The 20095-nt window shown below is 41.9% G+C and overlaps 1 annotated feature.

The window, feature by feature from the left end:
* Positions 8240 to 8866: an enhancer, noted in NCBI's record as "NANOG-H3K27ac-H3K4me1 hESC enhancer chr1:115690783-115691409 (GRCh37/hg19 assembly coordinates)". NCBI's record gives its function as "activates a minimal SCP1, AML or CMV promoter by ChIP-STARR-seq in naive H9 embryonic stem cells {active_cell/tissue: H9 hESC(naive)}" and the evidence as "EXISTENCE:reporter gene assay evidence [ECO:0000049][PMID:30033119]".

Genomic DNA, 20095 nt, shown 5'->3' with positions numbered 1-20095 from the left:
TCAGGCCCTGGGGTGAGCAATATCTCCCTGCTGTTGAAACAGGTGTTTCAACATCGCTTGCTAGTTTCCCTTCATTATGACCACATATTTATAAATGATGCCCTCATTAAACTCTCCTTTATTTCCCCAACTTGAGTATGCCATGTGTTTCCTACTGGTACCCTGACATCACAAATGAAGTATGTGAAGTACTACGAATACAAGTACTCCAAGAAATCAGAGAAAGTTGCAGAGATGAAGTTCATACCTGAGCAAAACCTGGGAAGATGAGTAGAAGTTTGTCAGCTGGTCAAAGGGATATGGTGGGAGAGAGGGCATAACAATAGTGGCAAGACTGAGGGAAGAGTTTCAATAAAGGCTTGTGTACTAGGTTGACCAGATGAAACTGCTAGTATCAGACCATTTTTGTCCTGCAAAATAAAGGCAATTTAATATGGTTCAACCTAATACTACAGTTCACACCATGGTGACCTTAAATGGGAAGGGAGCCTATAGGAATGGAAATAATCAAAATGACCCTGACCTTACAGGATGGATATCAGGAAGAATAGAGATAGCATTAATTTGAAGAAGAGGGTAATCCACTTTGCAGAGAGAGATCGAAATGTGTCTTCTATGTTTTATTTCTATTCAAACAGAGCTGCAGATCTGTTTCTGTTCCCCTTATATCTGAATCTTCAATCTAGTTCCTACAAAGAAGGAAAATGCATACAAATTTCCACATCTTGAACCATAGCTCTTAGAGTTAGACAGGTCCTTCATAGTCTACACTCTCATTTCAAAGATTAAACATAATGAGACACAGGGGTTAAGAGTCTTGTCCACTATCACACAACTGTGTGATCTTCCAATTGGATATCTTGATAATGAAAAACTTCAAAGGGAATGAGTTTGGGAGAGCACCAATAACAGAGTTCTATGAAGAGTGGGCGAAGTTCAAGTCCTGATAGAGAAGAGTCAAACCCTGCGAGGCAAAAGCTGATAGAGGTGAAGGAAAGAAAAAGTTGCATGGAGAGAGAGAATGCTGAGAGAAAATTAACTTGGCTGGAAGAGCAAAGAATGCATATGAATGATTTCCTTCTATTAATCTTATCCCGGGACCAAAATTAACTTTTCCTAGACTTGTTAGTGATAAAATTTATTATCCTTGATGACAATAACTCTTCCCAGGTTTGGGAAGAATTAAAAGACATATGATTTATTTTTCCTGAGATGATTTCCAGACCCCTAGTGCTGCTCCTCAAAAGTAATATTTTGGCATTTAATGAGCCAGGGAAGTTAGGCCATGTACTCAACATTAGCCAATTTAAAATAAGACTCTAAGTAATATTTAAAGTTGGAGTTGTTTTGATCTCATGATTTCTCTTACGACAGTTGAGTTAATACATACTCTGGAGCCAGATTTCCAGAAGTCTGTGTTCAGAATGACAGTAGCCTCTCTGTGTCTCAGTTTGGTGACCTTAACTAACCATGTCCCAGGATGTATCTGATAGACTTGCATAGTGTATTGCCTGGGCCTTTCAAAGCACTGTTTAGAGCATTATAAACAAGGATTATAGTAGAACTTTAGGAGTTGAAAGTCAAGAATAAGGTGAACTCTTACAGGAGCACAGGGGTGGTGACTAAGTACTGCTCCAGGTTAGGGACCTTACATACACACCTTTCTTGGTGGCTAGCCATAATCATCAACATCACTCCCAAGAATAGTGATGCAGATTAAAGTCTTGCAGGAGCATATCACTTGTGCATCTGTCTGTTAGCTCAATATGAACTGGCATGCCTATTGTCATGTTTACTAACTCAAGGACTCAAATTTTCAGGCAAGTTATTGACTTGCTTATTTCAGAACTAAATTTTTGATCATCACCCCAATTCTAAGCCTATAGGCAGAACTGGAAAATGACAAAAAGTCAGCAAAATGATCAAAGAATTGTCCCTCTAGGAAGGACCTTGGTGATGATCTAGTGTTTAATTATCGCTCTACAAATGAGAACACTGTTGTCCAGAGATAGTGAATAACTTGCCCACGGTCTGGTACCTAAAATGCACAGGGTTGCACTTGGCTGCAATTCTACCACTGATGAGCAATGACTCCCAGATCCTCCTTCAGCACATAGCCCACTATCCCATACTGGCTGGAAAGTTCTTTTCTGTCCTCTTCTTTTGTACTAATCTCTCCCTTCCCTTTGTTCAGTTCTTTCTATTTTGTGACTTTGTATTTGTCATCCTGAAAGAGATCATATGCATCTCAGTTGGTGTAATATAGGACACACTTATCAAAAGCCTACAAGTGCCAGACCTTGTGCACATGCTAAGCACTTAGTTAACATTTATTAAACTGGACTATATATGAGGAGCTATTCAGAATATGAGAGAAGTGAGAATGTGGGGCAGGGCAATGGGAAATATGGCCATGGTAGTACACTGTTATGAAGTAAGCTGGTCTCAAAAGAGAATTGTGGTAGTGGTGACAGGAATGAAAATCATAAGAAGGTTGTGAAATGCATTTCAGAGTAAAATTGGATGTCAGGAAAGAAAAAAGAGGAGAAATGATAAGAACATTTTATTTTGCACATTTCAAATGTGAGATACCAAATGGATGTGCAATTGGAAAAGTTCAACAAACAGTGAAATGCACAGCGGGGACTCAGGCAGGAGGTCGAGGTCCGAAGTCCGTAGAGAGAGGGTGGCTTAAACTGTGAAGGTAGGGTTTACCCTGCTGGAAGTTAGCATAACTTTCTGCTAAAACTCTTCTACTGCTTTGGAATATTTTAACTAGACCAAAGACTGACAAAGATAGTGAAGTTTTTTTTAAGTAAATAGGACAAGAACAGCCCACACCGGAGGAAGTCCAGCCTCCTTGCCCTCTTGCTCAGACAGCATTCTTCCCATCCACCATTCCAAATGCTTCATCTCCTCCAGGAAGCCCTTTTGTTTTGATAAGATAAGAAACACTAGCTTACCTGACTCTTTTCCTAGATTTGGCCATATCAGTCATCCCCATGTTTCTATTAGTGGCATACAGAAGCACTTCATGATGATTTTATTTTCTTCTTCTGTCTTTTTTTTATTTGTATAAATTTATGGGGTATGAGTATAATTTTGTTTACATCCATAGACTGCATATGGTGAAGTCAGGGCTTTTAGGGTATCCATCACCCAAATAATGTACCCTGTCCCCATAAGTAATTTTTTTTTATTAACTTTAAGTTTTAGGGTACATGTGCACATTGTGCAGGTTAGTTACATATGTATACATGTGCCATGCTGGTGCGCTGCACCCACTAACTCGTCATCTAGCATTAGGTATATCTCCCGATGCTATCCCTCCCCCCTCCCCCCACCCCACAACAGTCCCCAGAGTGTGATATTCCCCTTCCTGTGTCCATGTGATCTCATTGTTCAATTCCCACCTATGAGTGAGAATATGCGGTGTTTGGTTTTTTGTTCTTGCGATAGTTTACTGAGAATGATGATTTCCAATTTCATCCATGTCCCTACAAAGGACATGAACTCATCATTTTTTATGGCTGCATAGTATTCCATGGTGTATATGTGCCACATTTTCTTGATCCAGTCTATCATTGTTGGACATTTGGGTTGGTTCCAAATCTTTGCTATTGTGAATAATGCCACAATAAACATACGTGTGCATGTGTCTTTATAGCAGCATGATTTATAGTCCTTTGGGTATATACCCAGTAATGGGATGGCTGGGTCAAATGGTATTTCTAGTTCTAGATCCCTGAGGAATCGCCACACTGACTTCCACAATGGTTGAACTAGTTTACAGTCCCACCAACAGTGTAAAAGTGTTCCTATTTCTCCACATCCTCTCCAGCACCTGTTGTTTCCTGACTTTTTAATGATCGCCATTCTAACTGGTGTGAGATGGTATCTCATTGTGGTTTTGATTTGCATTTCTCTGATGGCCAGTGATGATGAGCATTTTTTCATGTGTTTTTTGGCTGCATAAATGTCTTCTTTTGAGAAGTGTCTGTTCATGTCCTTCGCCCACTTTTTGATGGGGTTGTTTGTTTTTTTCTTGTAAATTTGTTTGAGTTAATTGTAGATTCTGGATATTAGCCCTTTGTCAGATGAGTAGGTTGCGAAAATTTTCTCCCATTTTGTAGGTTGCCTGTTCACTCTGATGGTAGTTTCTTTTGCTGTGCAGAAGCTCTTTAGTTTAATTAGATCCCATTTGTCAATTTTGGCTTTTGTTGCCATTGCTTTTGGTGTTTTAGACATGAAGTCCTTGCCCATGCCTATGTCCTGAATGGTAATGCCTAGGTTTTCTTCTAGGGTTTTTATGGTTTTAGGTCTAACGTTTAAGTCTTTAATCCATCTTGAATTGATTTTTGTATAAGGTGTAAGGAAGGGATCCAGTTTCAGCTTTCTACATATGGCTAGCCAGTTTTCCTAGCACCATTTATTAAATAGGGAATCCTTTCCCCATTGCTTGTTTTTCTCAGGTTTGTCAAAGATCAGATAGTTGTAGATATGCGGCGTTATTTCTGAGGGCTCTGTTCTGTTCCATTGATCTATATCTCTGTTTTGGTACCAGTACCATGCTGTTTTGGTTACTGTAGCCTTGTAGTATAGTTTGAAGTCAGGTAGTGTGATGCCTCCAGCTTTGTTCTTTTGGCTTAGGATTGACTTGGCAATGCGGGCTCTTTTTTGGTTCCATATGAACTTTAAAGTAGTTTTTTCCAATTCTGTGAAGAAAGTCATTGGTAGCTTGATGGGGATGGCATTGAATCTGTAAATTACCTTGGGCAGTCTGGCCATTTTCACGATATTGATTCTTCCTACCCATGAGCATGGAATGTTCTTCCATTTGTTTGTCTCCTCTTTTATTTCCTTGAGCAGTGTTTTGTAGTTCTCCTTGAAGAGGTCCTTTGCATCCCTTGTAAGTTGGATTCCTAGGTATTTTATTCTCTTTGAAGCAATTGTGAATGGGAGTTCACTCATGATTTGGCTCTCTGTTTGTCTGTTGTTGGTGTATAAGAATGCTTGTGATTTTTGTACATTGATTTTGTATCCTGAGACTTTGCTGAAGTTGCTTATCAGCTTAAGGAGATTTTGGGCTGAGACAATGGGGTTTTCTAGATATACAATCATGTCGTCTGCAAACAGGGACAATTTGACTTCCTCTTTTCCTAATTGAATATCCTTTATTTCCTTCTCCTGCCTAATTGCCCTGGCCAGAACTTCCAACACTATGTTGAATAGGAGTGGTGAGAGAGGGCATCCCTGTCTTGTGCCAGTTTTCAAAGGGAATGCTTCCAGTTTTTGCCCATTCAGTATGATATTGGCTGTGGGTTTGTCATAGATACCTCTTATTATTTTGAAATATGTCCCATCAATACCTAATTTATTGTGAGTTTTTAGCACGAAGGGTTGTTGAATTTTGTCAAAGGCTTTTTCTGCATCTATTGAGATAATCATGTGGTTTTTGTCTTTGGCTCTGTTTATATGCTGGATTACATTTATTGATTTGCGTATATTGAACCAGCCTTGCATCCCAGGGATGAAGCCCACTTGATCATGGTGGATAAGCTTTTTAATGTGCTGCTGGATTCGTTTTGCCAGTATTTTATTGAGGATTTTTGCATCCATGTTCATCAAGGATATTGGTCTAAAATTCTCTTTTTTTGTTGTGTCTCTTCCTGGCTTTGGTATCAGAATGATGCTGGCCTCATAAAATGAGTTAGGGAGGATCCCCTCTTTTTCTATTGATTGGAATAGTTTCAGAAGGAATGGTACCAGTTCCTCCTTGTACCTCTGGTAGAATTCGGCTGTGAATCCATCTGGTCCTGGACTCTTTTTGGTTGGTAAGCTATTGATTATTGCCACAATTTCAGATCCTGTTATTGGTCTATTCAGAGATTCAACTTCTTCCTGGTTTAGTCTTGGGAGAGTGTATGTGTCGAGGAATTTATCCATTTCTTCTAGATTTTCTAGTTTATTTGCGTAGAGGTGTTTGTAGTATTCTCTGATGGTAGTTTGTATTTCTGTGGGATCGGTGGTGATATCCCCTTTATCATTTTTTATTGCGTCTATTTGATTCTTCTCTCTTTTTTTCCTTATTAGTCTTGCTAGCGGTCTATCAATTTTGTTGATCCTTTCAAAAAACCAGCTCCAGGATTCATTAATTTTTGAAGGGTTTTTTGTGTCTCTATTTCCTTCAGTTCTCCTCTGATTTTAGTTATTTCTTGCCTTCTGCTAGCTTTTGAATGTGTTTGCTCTTGCTTTTCTAGTTCTTTTAATTGTGATGTTAGGGTGTCAATTTTGGATCTTTCCTGCTTTCTCTTGTGGGCATTTAATGCTATAAATTTCCCTCTACACACTGCTTTGAATACGTCCCAGAGATTCTGGTATGTTGTGTCTTTGTTCTCGTTGGTTTCAAAGAACATCTTTATTTCTGCCTTCATTTCATTATGTACCCAGTAGTCATTCAGGGGCAGGTTGTTCAGTTTCCATGTATTTGAGCGGTTTTGAGTGAGATTCTTAATCCTGAGTTCTAGTTTGATTGCACTGTGGTCTGAGAGATAGTTTGTTATAATTTCTGTTCTTTTACATTTGCTGGGAAGCTTTACTTCCCAGTTTGTGGTCAATTTTGGAATAGGTGTGGTGTGGTGCTGAAAAAAATGTATATTCTGTTGATTTGGGGTGGAGAGTTCTGTAGATGTCTATTAGGTCCGCTTGGTGCAGAGCTGAGTTCAATTCCTGGGTATCCTTGTTGACTTTCTGTCTCATTGATCTGTCTAATGTTGACAGTGGGGTGTTAAAGTCTCCCATTATTAATGTGTGGGAATCTAAGTCTCTTTGTAGGTCACTCAGGACTTGCTTTATGAATCTTGGTGCTCCTGTATTGGGTGCATATATATTTAGGATAGTTAGCTCTTCTTGTTGAATTGATCCCTTTACCATTATGTAATGGCCTTCTTTGTCTCTTTTGATCTTTGTTGGTTTAAAGTCTGTTTTATCAGAGACTAGGATTGCAACCCCTGCCTTTTTTTGTTTTCCATTGGCTTGGTAGATCTTCCTCCATCCTTTTATTTTGAGCCTATGTGTGTCTCTGCACATGAGATGGGTCTCCTGAATACAGCACACTGATGGGTCTTGACTCTTTATCCAATTTGCCAGTCTGTGTCTTTTAATTGGAGCATTTAGTCCATTTACATTTAAAGTTAATATTGTTATGTGTGAATTTGATCCTGTCATTATGATATTAGCTGGTTATTTTGCTCGTTAGTTGATGCAGTTTCTTCCTAGTCTCAATGGTCTTTACATTTTGGCATGATTTTGCAGTGGCTGGTACTGGTTGTTCCTTTCCATGTTTAGTGCTTCCTTCAGGAGCTCTTTTAGGGCAGGCCTGGTGGTGACAAAATCTCTCAGCATTTGCTTGTCTGTAAAGGATTTTATTTCTCCTTCACTTATGAAGCTTAGTTTGGCTGGATATGAAATTCTGGGTTGAAAATTCTTTTCTTTAAGAATGTTGAATATTGGCCCCCACTCTCTTCTGGCTTGTAGGGTTTCTGCTGAGAGATCCGCTGTTAGTCTGATGGGCTTCCCTTTGAGGGTAACCCGACCTTTCTCTCTGGCTGCCCTTAATATTTTTTCCTTCATTTCAACTTTGGTGAATCTGACAATTATGTGTCTTGGAGTTGCTCTTCTCGAGGAGTATCTTTGTGGCGTTCTCTGTATTTCCTGAATCTGAACGTTAGCCTGCCTTGCTAGATTGGGGAAGTTCTCCTGGATAATATCCTGCAGAGTGTTTTCCAACTTGGTTCCATTCTCCCCATCACTTTCAGGTATACCAATCAGATGTAGATTTGGTCTTTTCACATAGTCCCATATTTCTTGGAGGCTTTGCTCATTTCTTTTTATTCTTTTTTCTCTAAACTTCCCTTCTCGCTTCATTTCATTCATTTCATCTTCCATCCCTGACACCCTTTCTTCCAGTTGATCGCATCGGCTCCTGAGGCTTCTGCATTCTTCACGTAGTTCTCGAGCCTTGGTTTTCAGCTCCATCAGCTCCTTTAAGCACTTCTCTGTATTGGTTATTCTAGTTATACATTCTTCTAAATTTTTTTCAAAGTTTTCAACTTCTTTGCCTTTGGTTTGAATGTCCTCCCATAGCTCAGAGTAATTTGATCGTCTGAAGCCTCCTTCTCTCAGCTCATCAAAGTCATTCTCCATCCAGCTTTGTTCCGTTGCTGGTGAGGAACTGCGTTCCTTTGGAGGAGGAGAGGCACTCTGCTTTTTAGAGTTTCCAGTTTTTCTGTTCTGTTTTTTCCCCATCTTTGTGGTTTTATCTACTTTTGGTCTTTGATGATGGTGATGTACAGATGGGTTTTTGGTGTGGATGTCCTTTCTGTTTGTTAGTTTTCCTTCTAACAGAGAGGACCCTCAGCTGCAGGTCTGTTGGAATACCCTGCCGTGCGAGGTGTCAGCAGTGTGCCCCTGGTGGGGGGTGCCTCCCAGTTAGGCTGCCCGGGGGTCAGGGGTCAGGGACCCACTTGAGGAGGCAGTCTGCCCGTTCTCAGATCTCCAGCTGCGTGCTGGGAGAACCACTGCTCTCTTCAAAGCTGTCAGACAGGGACATTTAAGTCTGCAGAGGTTACTGCTGTCTTTTTGTTTGTCTGTGCCCTGCCCCCAGAGGTGGAGCCTACAGAGGCAGGCAGGCCTCCTTGAGCTGTGGTGGGCTCCACCCAGTTCGAGCTTCCCAGCTGCTTTGTTTACCTAATCAAGCCTGGGCAATGGTGGGCGCCCCTCCCCCAGCCTCGCTGCCGCCTTGCAGTTTGATCTCAGACTGCTGTGCTAGCAATCAGCGAGACTCCGTGGGCGTAGCACCCTCCGAGCCAGGTGCCGGATATAATCTCGTGGTGCGCCGTTTTTTAAGCCCGTCGGAGAAGCGCAGTATTCGGGTGGGAGTGACCCGATTTTCCAGGTGCCTGTCCATCACCCCTTTCTTTGACTCAGAAAGGGAACTCCCTGACCCCTTGCACTTCCCAAGTGAGGCAATGTCTCACCCTGCTTCGGCTCGTGCACGGTGCACGCACCCACTGACCTGCGCCCACTGTCTGGCACTCCCTAGTGAGATGAACCCTGTACCTCAGATGGAAATGCATAAATCACCCGTCTTCTGCGTCGCTCACGCTGGGAGCTGTAGATTGGAGCTGTTCCTATTCAGCCATCTTCCATAAGTAATTTCTCATCCTCCTTTCCCACCCCCTTACCCTCTGAGTCTCCATTGTTTATCGTTCCACACTCTATGTACAGATATACACATTATTTAGCTCCCACTTATAAGCAAGAACATGTAATATTTGTCTTTCTGTGTATGACTTGTTTCACTTAAGATAATGGCCTCCAGGTCTATCCATGCTGCTGCAAAAGACATAATTTCATTCTTTTTTATGGCTGAGTAGTATTTTACTGCATATATATATATATATATATATATGTATATATATATATATATGTATATATATATACCACATTTTCTTTAATCATCTGCTGACAGAAACTTAGGTTGATTTCACATCTTTGCTATTATGAATAGTGCTGTGATAAACATATGGGTGCAGGTATATTTTCATATAATAATTTCTTCCCTTTGAGTAGATAGACAGAAGTGGGATTACTGGATCCAAAGGTAGCTCTATTTTTAGTGCTTTCAAAAATCTCCATACTATTTCCCATATAGGTTGTACTAATTTACATTCCCATGAACAATGTATAAGAGCTCCCTTTTCTCCACATCCTTGCCATCATCTGTTATTTTTTTGTCTGTTCGATAATAGCCATTCTAACCGGTCTAATATGATATCTCATTGGGGTATTAATTGGCATTTCTCTGATGATTTATGATGTTGAGCATTTTTTCATATGTCTGTTGGCCATTTATATGTCTTCTTTTGAAAAATGTCCACTGATGTTCTTTGATCACTTTTTAACGGGATTATTGGGGGTTCTGTTGTCACTGAGTTGTTTGAGTTCCTTGTCAATTCTGGATATTAGTCTCCTGTCAGATGTATAGAATGCATAGTTTGCAAATATTTTATCCTGCTCCACAGGTTGTCGACTCTGTTGATTATTTCTTTTGCTGTGTAGAAGCTTTTTAGTTTAATTAAGTCTAATTTGTCTATTTTTGTTTTTATTGCCTGTGTTTTTGAGGTTTTAGTCATGAATTCTTTGCCTAGACCAATGTCCAGAAGAGTTTTCCTCAGGTTTTCTTCTTTTACTTTTATGATTTCAGGTTTCACATTTAAGTCTTTTATCCATCTTGAGTTGATTTTTGTACATGGCGAGAGATAGAGATCCAGTTTCATTCTTTTGTATATGGCAAGTCCACCTTCCCAGCACATTAGTTGAAAAGGGTGTCCTTTCTCCAGTGTATGTTCATATCAACTTAGTCAAAGATCAGTTGGCTGTAAATATGCAAATTTATTTCTGGGTATTCTAGTCTTTTCTATTGATTGATTTGTCTATTTTTATACCAGCACCATGCTGTTTTGGTTACTATAGCCTTGTAGTACAATTTGAAGTCAGAAAATGTGATGCCTCCAGCTTTGTTCTTTTTGCTTAAAGATTGCTGTGGCTATTTGAGCTGTTTTTTTTGTTGTTGTTGTTGTTCCATATGAATTTTAGGATTCTTTTTACTAATTCTGTGAAAAATGGCATGGTATTTTGATAGGGAATGCATTGAATCTGTTTATTGCTTTGGGTAGTATGGTCATTTTAACAATATTAATTCTTCTGATCCATAAGCATGGGATGTTTTTCCATTTGTTTATGTCAACATAATTTCAGGGTTTTGTAGTTTTCCTTGTAGAGATCTTTTCACCTCCTTGGTTAAATATATTCTTAGGGTTTCTGTGTATGTGTAGCTTCTGTAATTGCCTTCTTGATTTGGTTCTCAACCAAATCACTGTTGGTGTATAAAAACACCACTGATTTTTATACATTGATTTTGTATACTGAAACTTTACTGAATTCATTTACCAAATGTAAGAGTTTTTTGGTGGAGTACTTAGGTTTTTCTAGATAAAAGATCATATCAATGATGATTTTTTTTTACAATAATGGTGGTTGTTACATCATCCATCTGAATGTCTAACGTCTGTTAATTGTCCATTTTCCCATTGTTGACTTCTTCCTCAACAGCACCCCACTGGCTCCAGCTCCCAGCACCCTTCTCCTCCAGACTCTTTGAAGGTCTCTTATCTACCCATACCCCCGAGAAGTTCTGCAAAAGCTGAGTTTTATAAAACAAAACTTGAAAACCCAATTCATGTCACAAAGGATAAACCTGCTTAAAATAGACTTTGACTTTGTAATTTTATGCGTATGTTAAAATACTCCCTAACTGTAGCAAACATCTCTATTTGATAAACCTCTAACTCAATTTCATTTTCAAATATTTGTAAAATTTCCACTGGAACATACAACAATGACTGGTAGTGATGATGATTAAAATAGAAGCAAGGAAACTGGATAAAAACAGCAGATCACTAAGACCACCCAAGTGGGGAAGCCAAACCACAGAGGACCGGGAAACTCCAGGGACAGAGCCCTCTGGGGAAACCTTCAACTTTCTCTTTCCCAGAGCAAACATGTAGTCACATGGTGGTTTACCTTATCATGAAAGTGGTGCCCAGCCCAGACACTAGAATGACAGAGGCTTTGTTATTATGTATACTGCACCCAAACACCACCACAATTTACCACAACCAACCATCAGTATGTTGGAACTCATCACATATGGTCTTTTAGATTACCCAAACCTGCAATAACTTCACCAAAGTCAATATCCCATTACTGGCAAGAGAATAGCGGGGGCCTTATGGGGTTGAACTTGAAATCTAAAATTCTCATTACCTATATGCAACTTGAGCAGATCTCCTACTAAGAATTTCCTATTTGATCCATCACACCTTCTGTATAGCAGACTGAAACAAACCACTTCAACAATTCCTTGGCTTAGAACATATGTGAAGATAAAGAGAATTGCCTGCAGTACATTTCCCACTGTCACAGCTAACAATAGCATCTTGTCTCCTAAGGCAGCCCCTCCAGTAAAAGCCCAAATCAGACCCCACCCCAACCAGTAATGGGAACTTCGCTGACAAATGTTTCTCATCTGAACCCAATCAGTTTGTAGAGTATTATACAGAGCTATGAATGTATTCCATATGCATTCCATCTCTGAAATTCTGAGGCCTCAGCTCCAAACCAAAATCATATTACTATTATTATTGTTGTTATTTAACATCTGTTCTTTTACACAAGTGCAAAGTACAGCACAATCATTTCATTAGTGCCTTATCATCTGGGGCCCAGTCCCTGTTCACTCCAGAGACTTAATAGAGATGATTTGGAGAAATGCACTGGCATTGCTGTAGCTTTGGTATCATTCCTCCACCCAACGCATGCACCCACCCTTACCATCCAAAGGAAGGGAGTAACAGGAGGTCCACATGAGATTTTGTCAACAGAGCTGATCTTGTGCATAATAACAGCAGTAAAGCAGAGAGAGCCCTATCCTTCCGAACACTGTGGGAATCTGCAGTGCTCACACCTTCAAAGCCCTTGTGAGGAATGATGACAGGAAGACACACCAGAGTGCTCTTGTTCTCCCCCAGGGAGAATGTTTGCAAGTTAGAGAAAATGATGGTCTGTGAGTCTTCCTGTTGGAGAACTTCCCAAGAAGAAGATGATTAACTAGGTAATTTCTGGGAGTGCAGTGGTCCACTTAAGGCATTATCCCAAACCGTTTCTAAAATTCCAGGGAAATAGCACCTTTCCACCTCCACCCCTATTCTAGCACACTCAGGCCACATTCATAGGCCCAAGAGTGTCCTTGAGCATTTCAAATTTGGTAATAACCTCAAGCAAAAGGACACAGGAGATAAATTATCTGCCCATAAAATGGTGTGCAGCATCGTCAGACCTCAGAAGAAAGATCATTCTTTGGAACAAGCCTTCCCCCGCAAACACCTGCTTTCAACATTCACGCTCAGTATTGCTCAGAATCAATAACGGTGGAGTTCTGGAAGCACGCCTGGGGGGTACACTGCTTAAATATTATCAGCTTTCCTGATGCACTAAAAAAAAATTGAACATATAGACTTTTTTCAATTTTTGTTCCACCCTCAGTGCCTGTTACCACTCGCCTGTTAGCCAGAACTAGCATAAGACAAAACAATGAATGAGTAGAAACTATTAATGAAAAAAACTCAGAAACCAATGTGCATTTGTCCTTCAACACCTGGCTTTTTTGTGGCCCCAGGCTGCTTGTGGTTTAATAATGTGTGCACAGAATATAATCATTTGTTTGCTAGGGAAATTGTTCTTTGCTCATTTGAGGAAAATCAATAGGTCATATTTTATGGTATTCTGAAAATCCCTCTTGACTTTCAAGACCTCAGCCCCCTGCCTGGGTAGACTTGGTGGAGGGCACAGGATGTTGAGCTTAGTCTGGTTCCCACCCTTGGGCAAGTTCTTTAAACCCAGTTTCTCCAAGCTTCAGTTTCCAATTCTGTAAAATGGAAATAATATCAGGTCCTCCCTGGGGAACATTTTGAGGACAGAATGTAATCATGTGTGTAATTTGCCTGGTGTAAGCTAAGTGCTCAGCAAATGGTAGTGATCATTATCACAAGGACTAAATGAAAATACGTTTTGAACATGTCCAGCCCAATTCCTCAAGCTTGCAAGGTGATCCAAAAATACCACTCCTTTCCATTCCCTGCAATCACTTTCTGAATTCAGCTTCCCAGATGGCTGTTACTCCACATAAACCGTCCTCAGACTTCCCTGAGCTCTAGGAAGACACCTCTGTTCCCACTTGATACCACTGGGCTCCAGGGCTTCAGTGCCATGTGTAACCTCCTGCCCACAACCACCAGCTGACAGGAAGCTGAGGCTCGGGCAAAAATGAAGCTGGCGAGGGAGGGAGGTGTCCACATATCTACAACCCAAGCAGGTCTTCTGCTCACACATGGCATCCACCTAGGCCCCACGGTCATCCTCTCTCAGCTTTGCCTGCACCAGGCCCAGGAGTTTCAATCCAATGAAAAAAAAAAATTGTAAATGGCTCTCCCTTAAACAAAGAACAAGTCATCTCCATCCAGAAACAGCTAACTCTTGGAAAGACGCGGCCTGGGTGCTGCTCATGAGGTGTTTATCAGTTGGCAAAAGGACTCAGATTAAAAAGGCTCTTCTGGAGAGGAAAAGATGGCTGGCTGGGCAGGAGTGCTGCCCCATAGTGGCTCTAATTTTAGCTTTCTTAAAGTGAATCTAATTGTTTAAACAAGACTAAGCAAGCATGGAATTTGAGAAGGATAAGGAAGAAATTTAAAAAAAAAAAAAAGCAAGAGAATTTTTCCCCTAAAGACCCAAAACAAATCTAAACTGTAAGAATAGCTTTAAGTTAGTCATGAGAAAAAACAAATTCTACAGTGCCGAAAGTATTCAGGGAAAATTAACTTCCTCAGTTCAGTATAATACAGAGGAATTACAAAGGAGCAATGAGCCCAGAGTCCCCACCTTCACTTTGCTTTAGAGAAAAGAAATGCATAGAAAGTTTTCCAGCTCTAACATGTTTCTACTGAGAACACCAGCATCGGCCACTTCATGATTTTTAAAATAAGAAAATCATGGACTCAGTTAGAGCCCCAAGGACCTCACAATAGACCCATATGAAGGGATTTGAGGTGAGACTTTTAATTGATACATTCATTAATTTAGTCATTCAACAAACATTTTGTGGACATCTAGTATGTGCCAGGTACCATGCTAGGCACTGGAGCTACAACCAGGAAGCAGATAGAAATGATGCCTTTCTTCAAGGAGCCTGCAGACTCATGGAGCAGGAAGCTAATAAACCTGCCATATTGGGTGCTTTACAAACACGGAGGATACATGATTTGTTTTGCCCAGAGGAGTCACTGAGCTAAGGGACTGCTTCAGATGAGCGGTGACATTTGCCCTGGACCTTAAAGAGGAAGTAGGAGTTCTTCAGGAAGAGTAGAATCAGGAGATTTTTAAAGTGAGGCATAGAGATGTCCCCAGGCATACTATGTGCTGGGGACCTAATGGGGAAGAAAGACAGTTGTGCCCAGATTGCCAAAGCCTTATCAGCCATTCTCCAGAGCTAGAACATTGTCCTATGGGTATCAGAGAATTTCAGAAAACAGAATGACATCATAAAGAAAGCACTGGATCAAGAGCCAACAATCCATGGGATCTGCCAATCCCTAGCTATGTAGCCTTGGGCAAGGAACTGTCCCTCTTGGGGCCTCAATTTCCAACTCTGTCAAATGAGATAATTGAGCTAAATGACTTTTTTTATTATTCCACAAGAATAAAGTGAAACAATTTGGGGATAGAAGCTTGGTTTAGAAACAGATTGTGAAGCTCTCTGCTTGGGAAGTTTCCCCATGCCCCTGAGCCCTTATCTGGACCATGCACAACCATAAATGTGCGTTTACATGTGTACACACTCATTCACACCCCTCCAATCCATCCTCTATTTGCTCGCCACAAAGGGGTAGGATTAAAATGCTTCAGGAATCCAAAACCTCTGTAGGATAAAGCTGACACTCCTTAGCATGGAAGACAAAGCCCTTCACAGCTCTGCAGTCTCATGTCATACAACTTCATAACTAGACCTTCAGGATCCAGCCAGACCACCCCTCCCTGGCCTCAACTCCCCTAATACATTATTTGGCCTCACATATCTGCTCCTAAGCCCATGGTGCTTTGTCTGCCTGGAATGCCTTTTCCATAGCCTTGCTCTTGGTAAGCCTCATTGGTAGACCACATTTACTCTTTCAAACTTGCTCAAGAACAGCCTCTGCAGCAAAGCTGTCCTCCCCTCCCATGTCCCCCTCCTTATGCATATTTCTATCTATGCTGGGACACTGGATTGTAATCACTGGTTTCCATGGCTCTCTCTTCCACAGATGATGAATGCCTCAAGAATAAGAGCTATGTCTCAGTGACACTTGTATCCCCAGCTCCTAGGGCTGGAGACATAGAATGCCTAGACTTCTATGTAGCTGGCCATGGAATGTCCCCAGCAGATGTAAAACTAACCACTTGCATTTTTATTTAACTGTTCTGATTGTGTGCCCCAAACTACAGGATGATCTCTCAATGTTTTGGTGGGAACTGGAAACTTCTAGAGCTAAATTAGCTGCCAGAAAAGAACTGTTCACCGTAGGCTGGAGACCCATTGTCTCCTTCTGTGTTCCCAGCTTTTCATAAATGCCACTTCAGACTGTGGGATAGGCAGGTAGGAAGGTGGGCCACTCAAACTTGTCCAGCAATGTCTTGTTTTCATGAAGTCATAGAACCTCAGAATTGAAAGGGATCCTAGAAGCCATCACAGCCTTCCACCCAGGGCAGAACACCCCTACATTCCTTACAGGTGCTCATCCAAACTCAGTAGGTCTCAACTCATCCTGGTGAGGAAGCCTGGCCTGCTCTTGACTGGTTATTAGAAAAATGCTTCCTCATTTAACCGAGGTAATCCCAGCATTCCATGTATTCCTGTCTCAATAAAATCTCATTCAAATAAGAGTCTAACAACCTAGAGTAGGTGAAAATGCAATTCAAAACATGCTGGGAGTTCTCAAAAATTACTAAAAAACAATCATCCTCTTACAATCCTTTTTCCTCATATTTCTCTTTGGATCTCCTACTCGGTGTAGAGGCTCCCAAAACTCTCCCTCTTCTGACTATTCCCAACCAAGCCCGCAAGCAGGCTGCAGCCTTTCTCCACGAGGCCCCCACCCCCATCCTGCACAACTAATGATGGTGGATACTCTCAGCCTCTCTTGCTTTTTAATTTTCTGTTGTTTCCTGTCTTACCCCACTCCCCAGATTCTGCTCTACAAAAGGGATCCCAGGAGCTTCTTGAATATTGACAACACTTATTTTTTTAATTCTTTATAACATGTTGATGGAAATAGAAGCATCTGCATGTCAGGAAGCTGTCATACTTCTCTAACGTCTTTTCTTCTCCAGTCTACACCATCCCCATTTCTTCAACTGACCCTCCAATGGCACAGCTCCCAGAGCCCCAGCACTCCGATGTGCCATTCCTTTTGATATCACCCTTGAGTAATTCCCACAGTATTTAAAAAGAGATGCACAATTATTGTGGATAATAGTAATTATCCACAATAATTCAAGTGTGGTTTCACAACACATAAGACTGTGGAACTCCATGAAAAAGAAGCTTTATGAATGAAGCTGAATAATGCATTACTTTTACCACATTTTCTTAAAAAATAAAAATAAAAAGTACAACTCTGTTCAAAACTGGACACTAACTTCCCGAGGGCCCACCACACTCCCATAGGTAGGCATGTTGTGAGTGGAACGCCGATGGACGCGGGCCCTTGGCACGACAGGCGGGGCCGAGCACTCCTAGGAAGGCCACTGTGTGGGGTGGCTTGAGGGGCTCTAGGGAAACCCCATCCTTCCCATCAAAAATATCCCCACCACCAGGACACATCACTGTCCCATGTCACTCAAAGGCATTAAAAGCAATTGGTAAGTCGCAACTAACCCAACAGGAGGAAGACACCCTCAGGAATGGGCATTAATTAGGGTCTTAGCTGAAGTTATTTCAGATATTATTGGCTACCGCTAAAGGAAGTAGGGAAAGTTCTGAATGTGCCATAGGTGAAGGTTGTGTACCTCCAGGGGGAGCATGAGGTGAGGTGAGGTGAGGGGAAGGCAATGAGAGAAACAAAGGGTCCATGTGAAGAGAATGATGGCGCCTGGTAAGGAGACTGGCCTGAGCCGTAAGTGCGTCTGTGCTGCTTGGCTCAAGCTGCCAGCAACGGGAGCGTAACTGGTTTCACAAGGCTCCCAAGTGGAGCCACACTGCTCGCGGCCTCCAGTGAAGCACACGACCAGAGTGCCCTCTAGCGGGGGGAACGAGCGCTCACCACCCCTCAGGTCCAGGTATTAATAGATCAGCATGGACTTGAATTTTCCGTTACCCTGCTTCAGTCATTTGGTCAACAAGCATTGGTTGAATTCCCACTATGTGCTAACACTATGATAAACACCAGGGGAACATGTGAGTAGGCATGATCACCACTCCCAAGAAGTTTATGGCCAGACTGAGGGGGTAGGACGAGTCGGGGAGGCGTGGGTGCCAAGGATGCAGGCTTGCAAAGGCAGAAGGGGTGGATGGGCCAGGAAGGTCTTCCCAAGAGAGCAGACCCTCATGCTGAGGAGATGTTTGCTGGACAGACAAGTGGGGGATGGGCATTAGCACAAATTGGAGATGTTCTGTCCCCACCTGGAGAAAGAGAAGGTGGGGGTCATGGCCAGAAAGGAAGCTGGAGAGGGGCGGATAGGGGGAGATCATGGAGAGCTTGGCCTTCATTATAAAGATGACAGGAAGCCACAGAGGCATCAATCAATTTTGCAGATTTATAAAAGGATCACTCTGGTAAAGGGAGCAGCAGCTGAACTGCAGGGAAGCAAAACAGATGCCAAGTTTAAAAACGAGGGCCAAAATTAGGATCAAGATGAGGGAACCGCAAAGGGGAACAGATGCGAAGGAAAGAAGGTCAGCAGGACTTGGTGCAGATTGGGTGTGGAGGATAAAGGAAATAGAGGGGTCTCCACTGTTAGTGGAGAGGGGACTCGACTAACTCTCAGCTCCAGCTTGGGAGGCTAGCTTGATGGTGATGTCATTCGTCAAGCCAGGAGTAAAGGAGAAGGAGCAGGTTAAGAAGAGAGATGGTGAGTTCAATTCTGAACATGCAGAATTGGATGTGCCTGCCAGGGACACCAAGAGGAAATTCTGGGAGGTAACTGGTAATTGACTGTTTAGTCTGAAGCACTGGGAACTGATCTGGGAGTTGGCAGTGACCTATGGCATTGGAAGGGAAAAGCTCTCTCAAGGTAAGCACTCAACATGAAGAGAGAAAAGAGCTGAGGACAAACCCTAAGGGAAAGCTAATGCTTAAGAGGCAGTCAGAGAAACAGCAGCCCCGTGGAGACTACGGAGATTGAGGTGGAAAGAGAACAAGAAAAGAGCTGAAGCCAGAAAAGAGGGAGCTGCAAGAAGAAGGGTGTGACCAACTTCATGAAATGGCTACCAAGACAATGTCTTGTAATGAGTTGAAGAGTCAGTGGGCATGAGAGAGGGAGTTTGGTCTTGCCGGCATTCAGCTTTGTGATCTCTTCAATTTGGATTCTTAAAATGTCAGTTTTGTTTCACTCTACCGCTCTGTGTTCAGGACACTCAGGTAACTATTTCTTAGGGGATGCAAATCCTTGCTTTGGTAATACCTGTCACAAGACTATGAGAAGGATTCAATAGGATCATTTACATAGAGCACCTAGAAAATTGCCCAGCACATAGTAGGCACTCAAAGCTTCCTCCCCCACTGAAATAACATACTTAGGAAAGTAAATTTAATAGAATACAGATGCACATTAGATTAGCTGGTCTCTAGGCTGACCAGGTCATGGCTTCCACCACTGAACCAGGTAACCAAGAATGGTGTCAGGTCAGTACATAAACTCCACCAAGTGGGCACTGTGATCCGGTGGCTCATATGTTTGCTGGGGATCAGAAATTGGATCCTGATATTTAGATTCCTTACTAACCTTAATGACTCATTACAACAATACTGTAAAGATGGATACCATTATTCCCTATTTACAGGTGAGGACACTGGACTTACAGAGGTTCTATAACTAGCTCATTGTCACACATTCTGTCTTGCAAAATGGGGTCCCTTTTTAAACTGTGTCATCTTCAGGATGTCCCTTTGGAAGATTTAGGATGAGAGGGAATGTACAGGTGTGCTCGCAGGCACACACACAGACACACACACACACACACACACACACACACATTGTACTGAATGGTAGCCACTCTGAGCCAAAGCCCAGTTTGTTCTCAGCCCTGCAGCTAGCTCATTATCTCATCCTTACTAAGCTTCTCTCATTGCTCAGTGCCTCAGTTTCTCTATTTGGAAAATGAGACAGAATAGTCCTGTGCTTCCCCACTTCCTTCTAGGGAGTGGCCCTGATGAGATCATGT

This window comes from Homo sapiens, chromosome 1 (genome assembly GCF_000001405.40).
Source record: "Homo sapiens chromosome 1, GRCh38.p14 Primary Assembly".
NCBI lineage: Eukaryota > Metazoa > Chordata > Mammalia > Primates > Hominidae > Homo > Homo sapiens.
The sequence above is the reverse complement of the archived record's forward strand: the minus strand, read 5'-3'. Positions and strand labels throughout refer to the sequence as shown.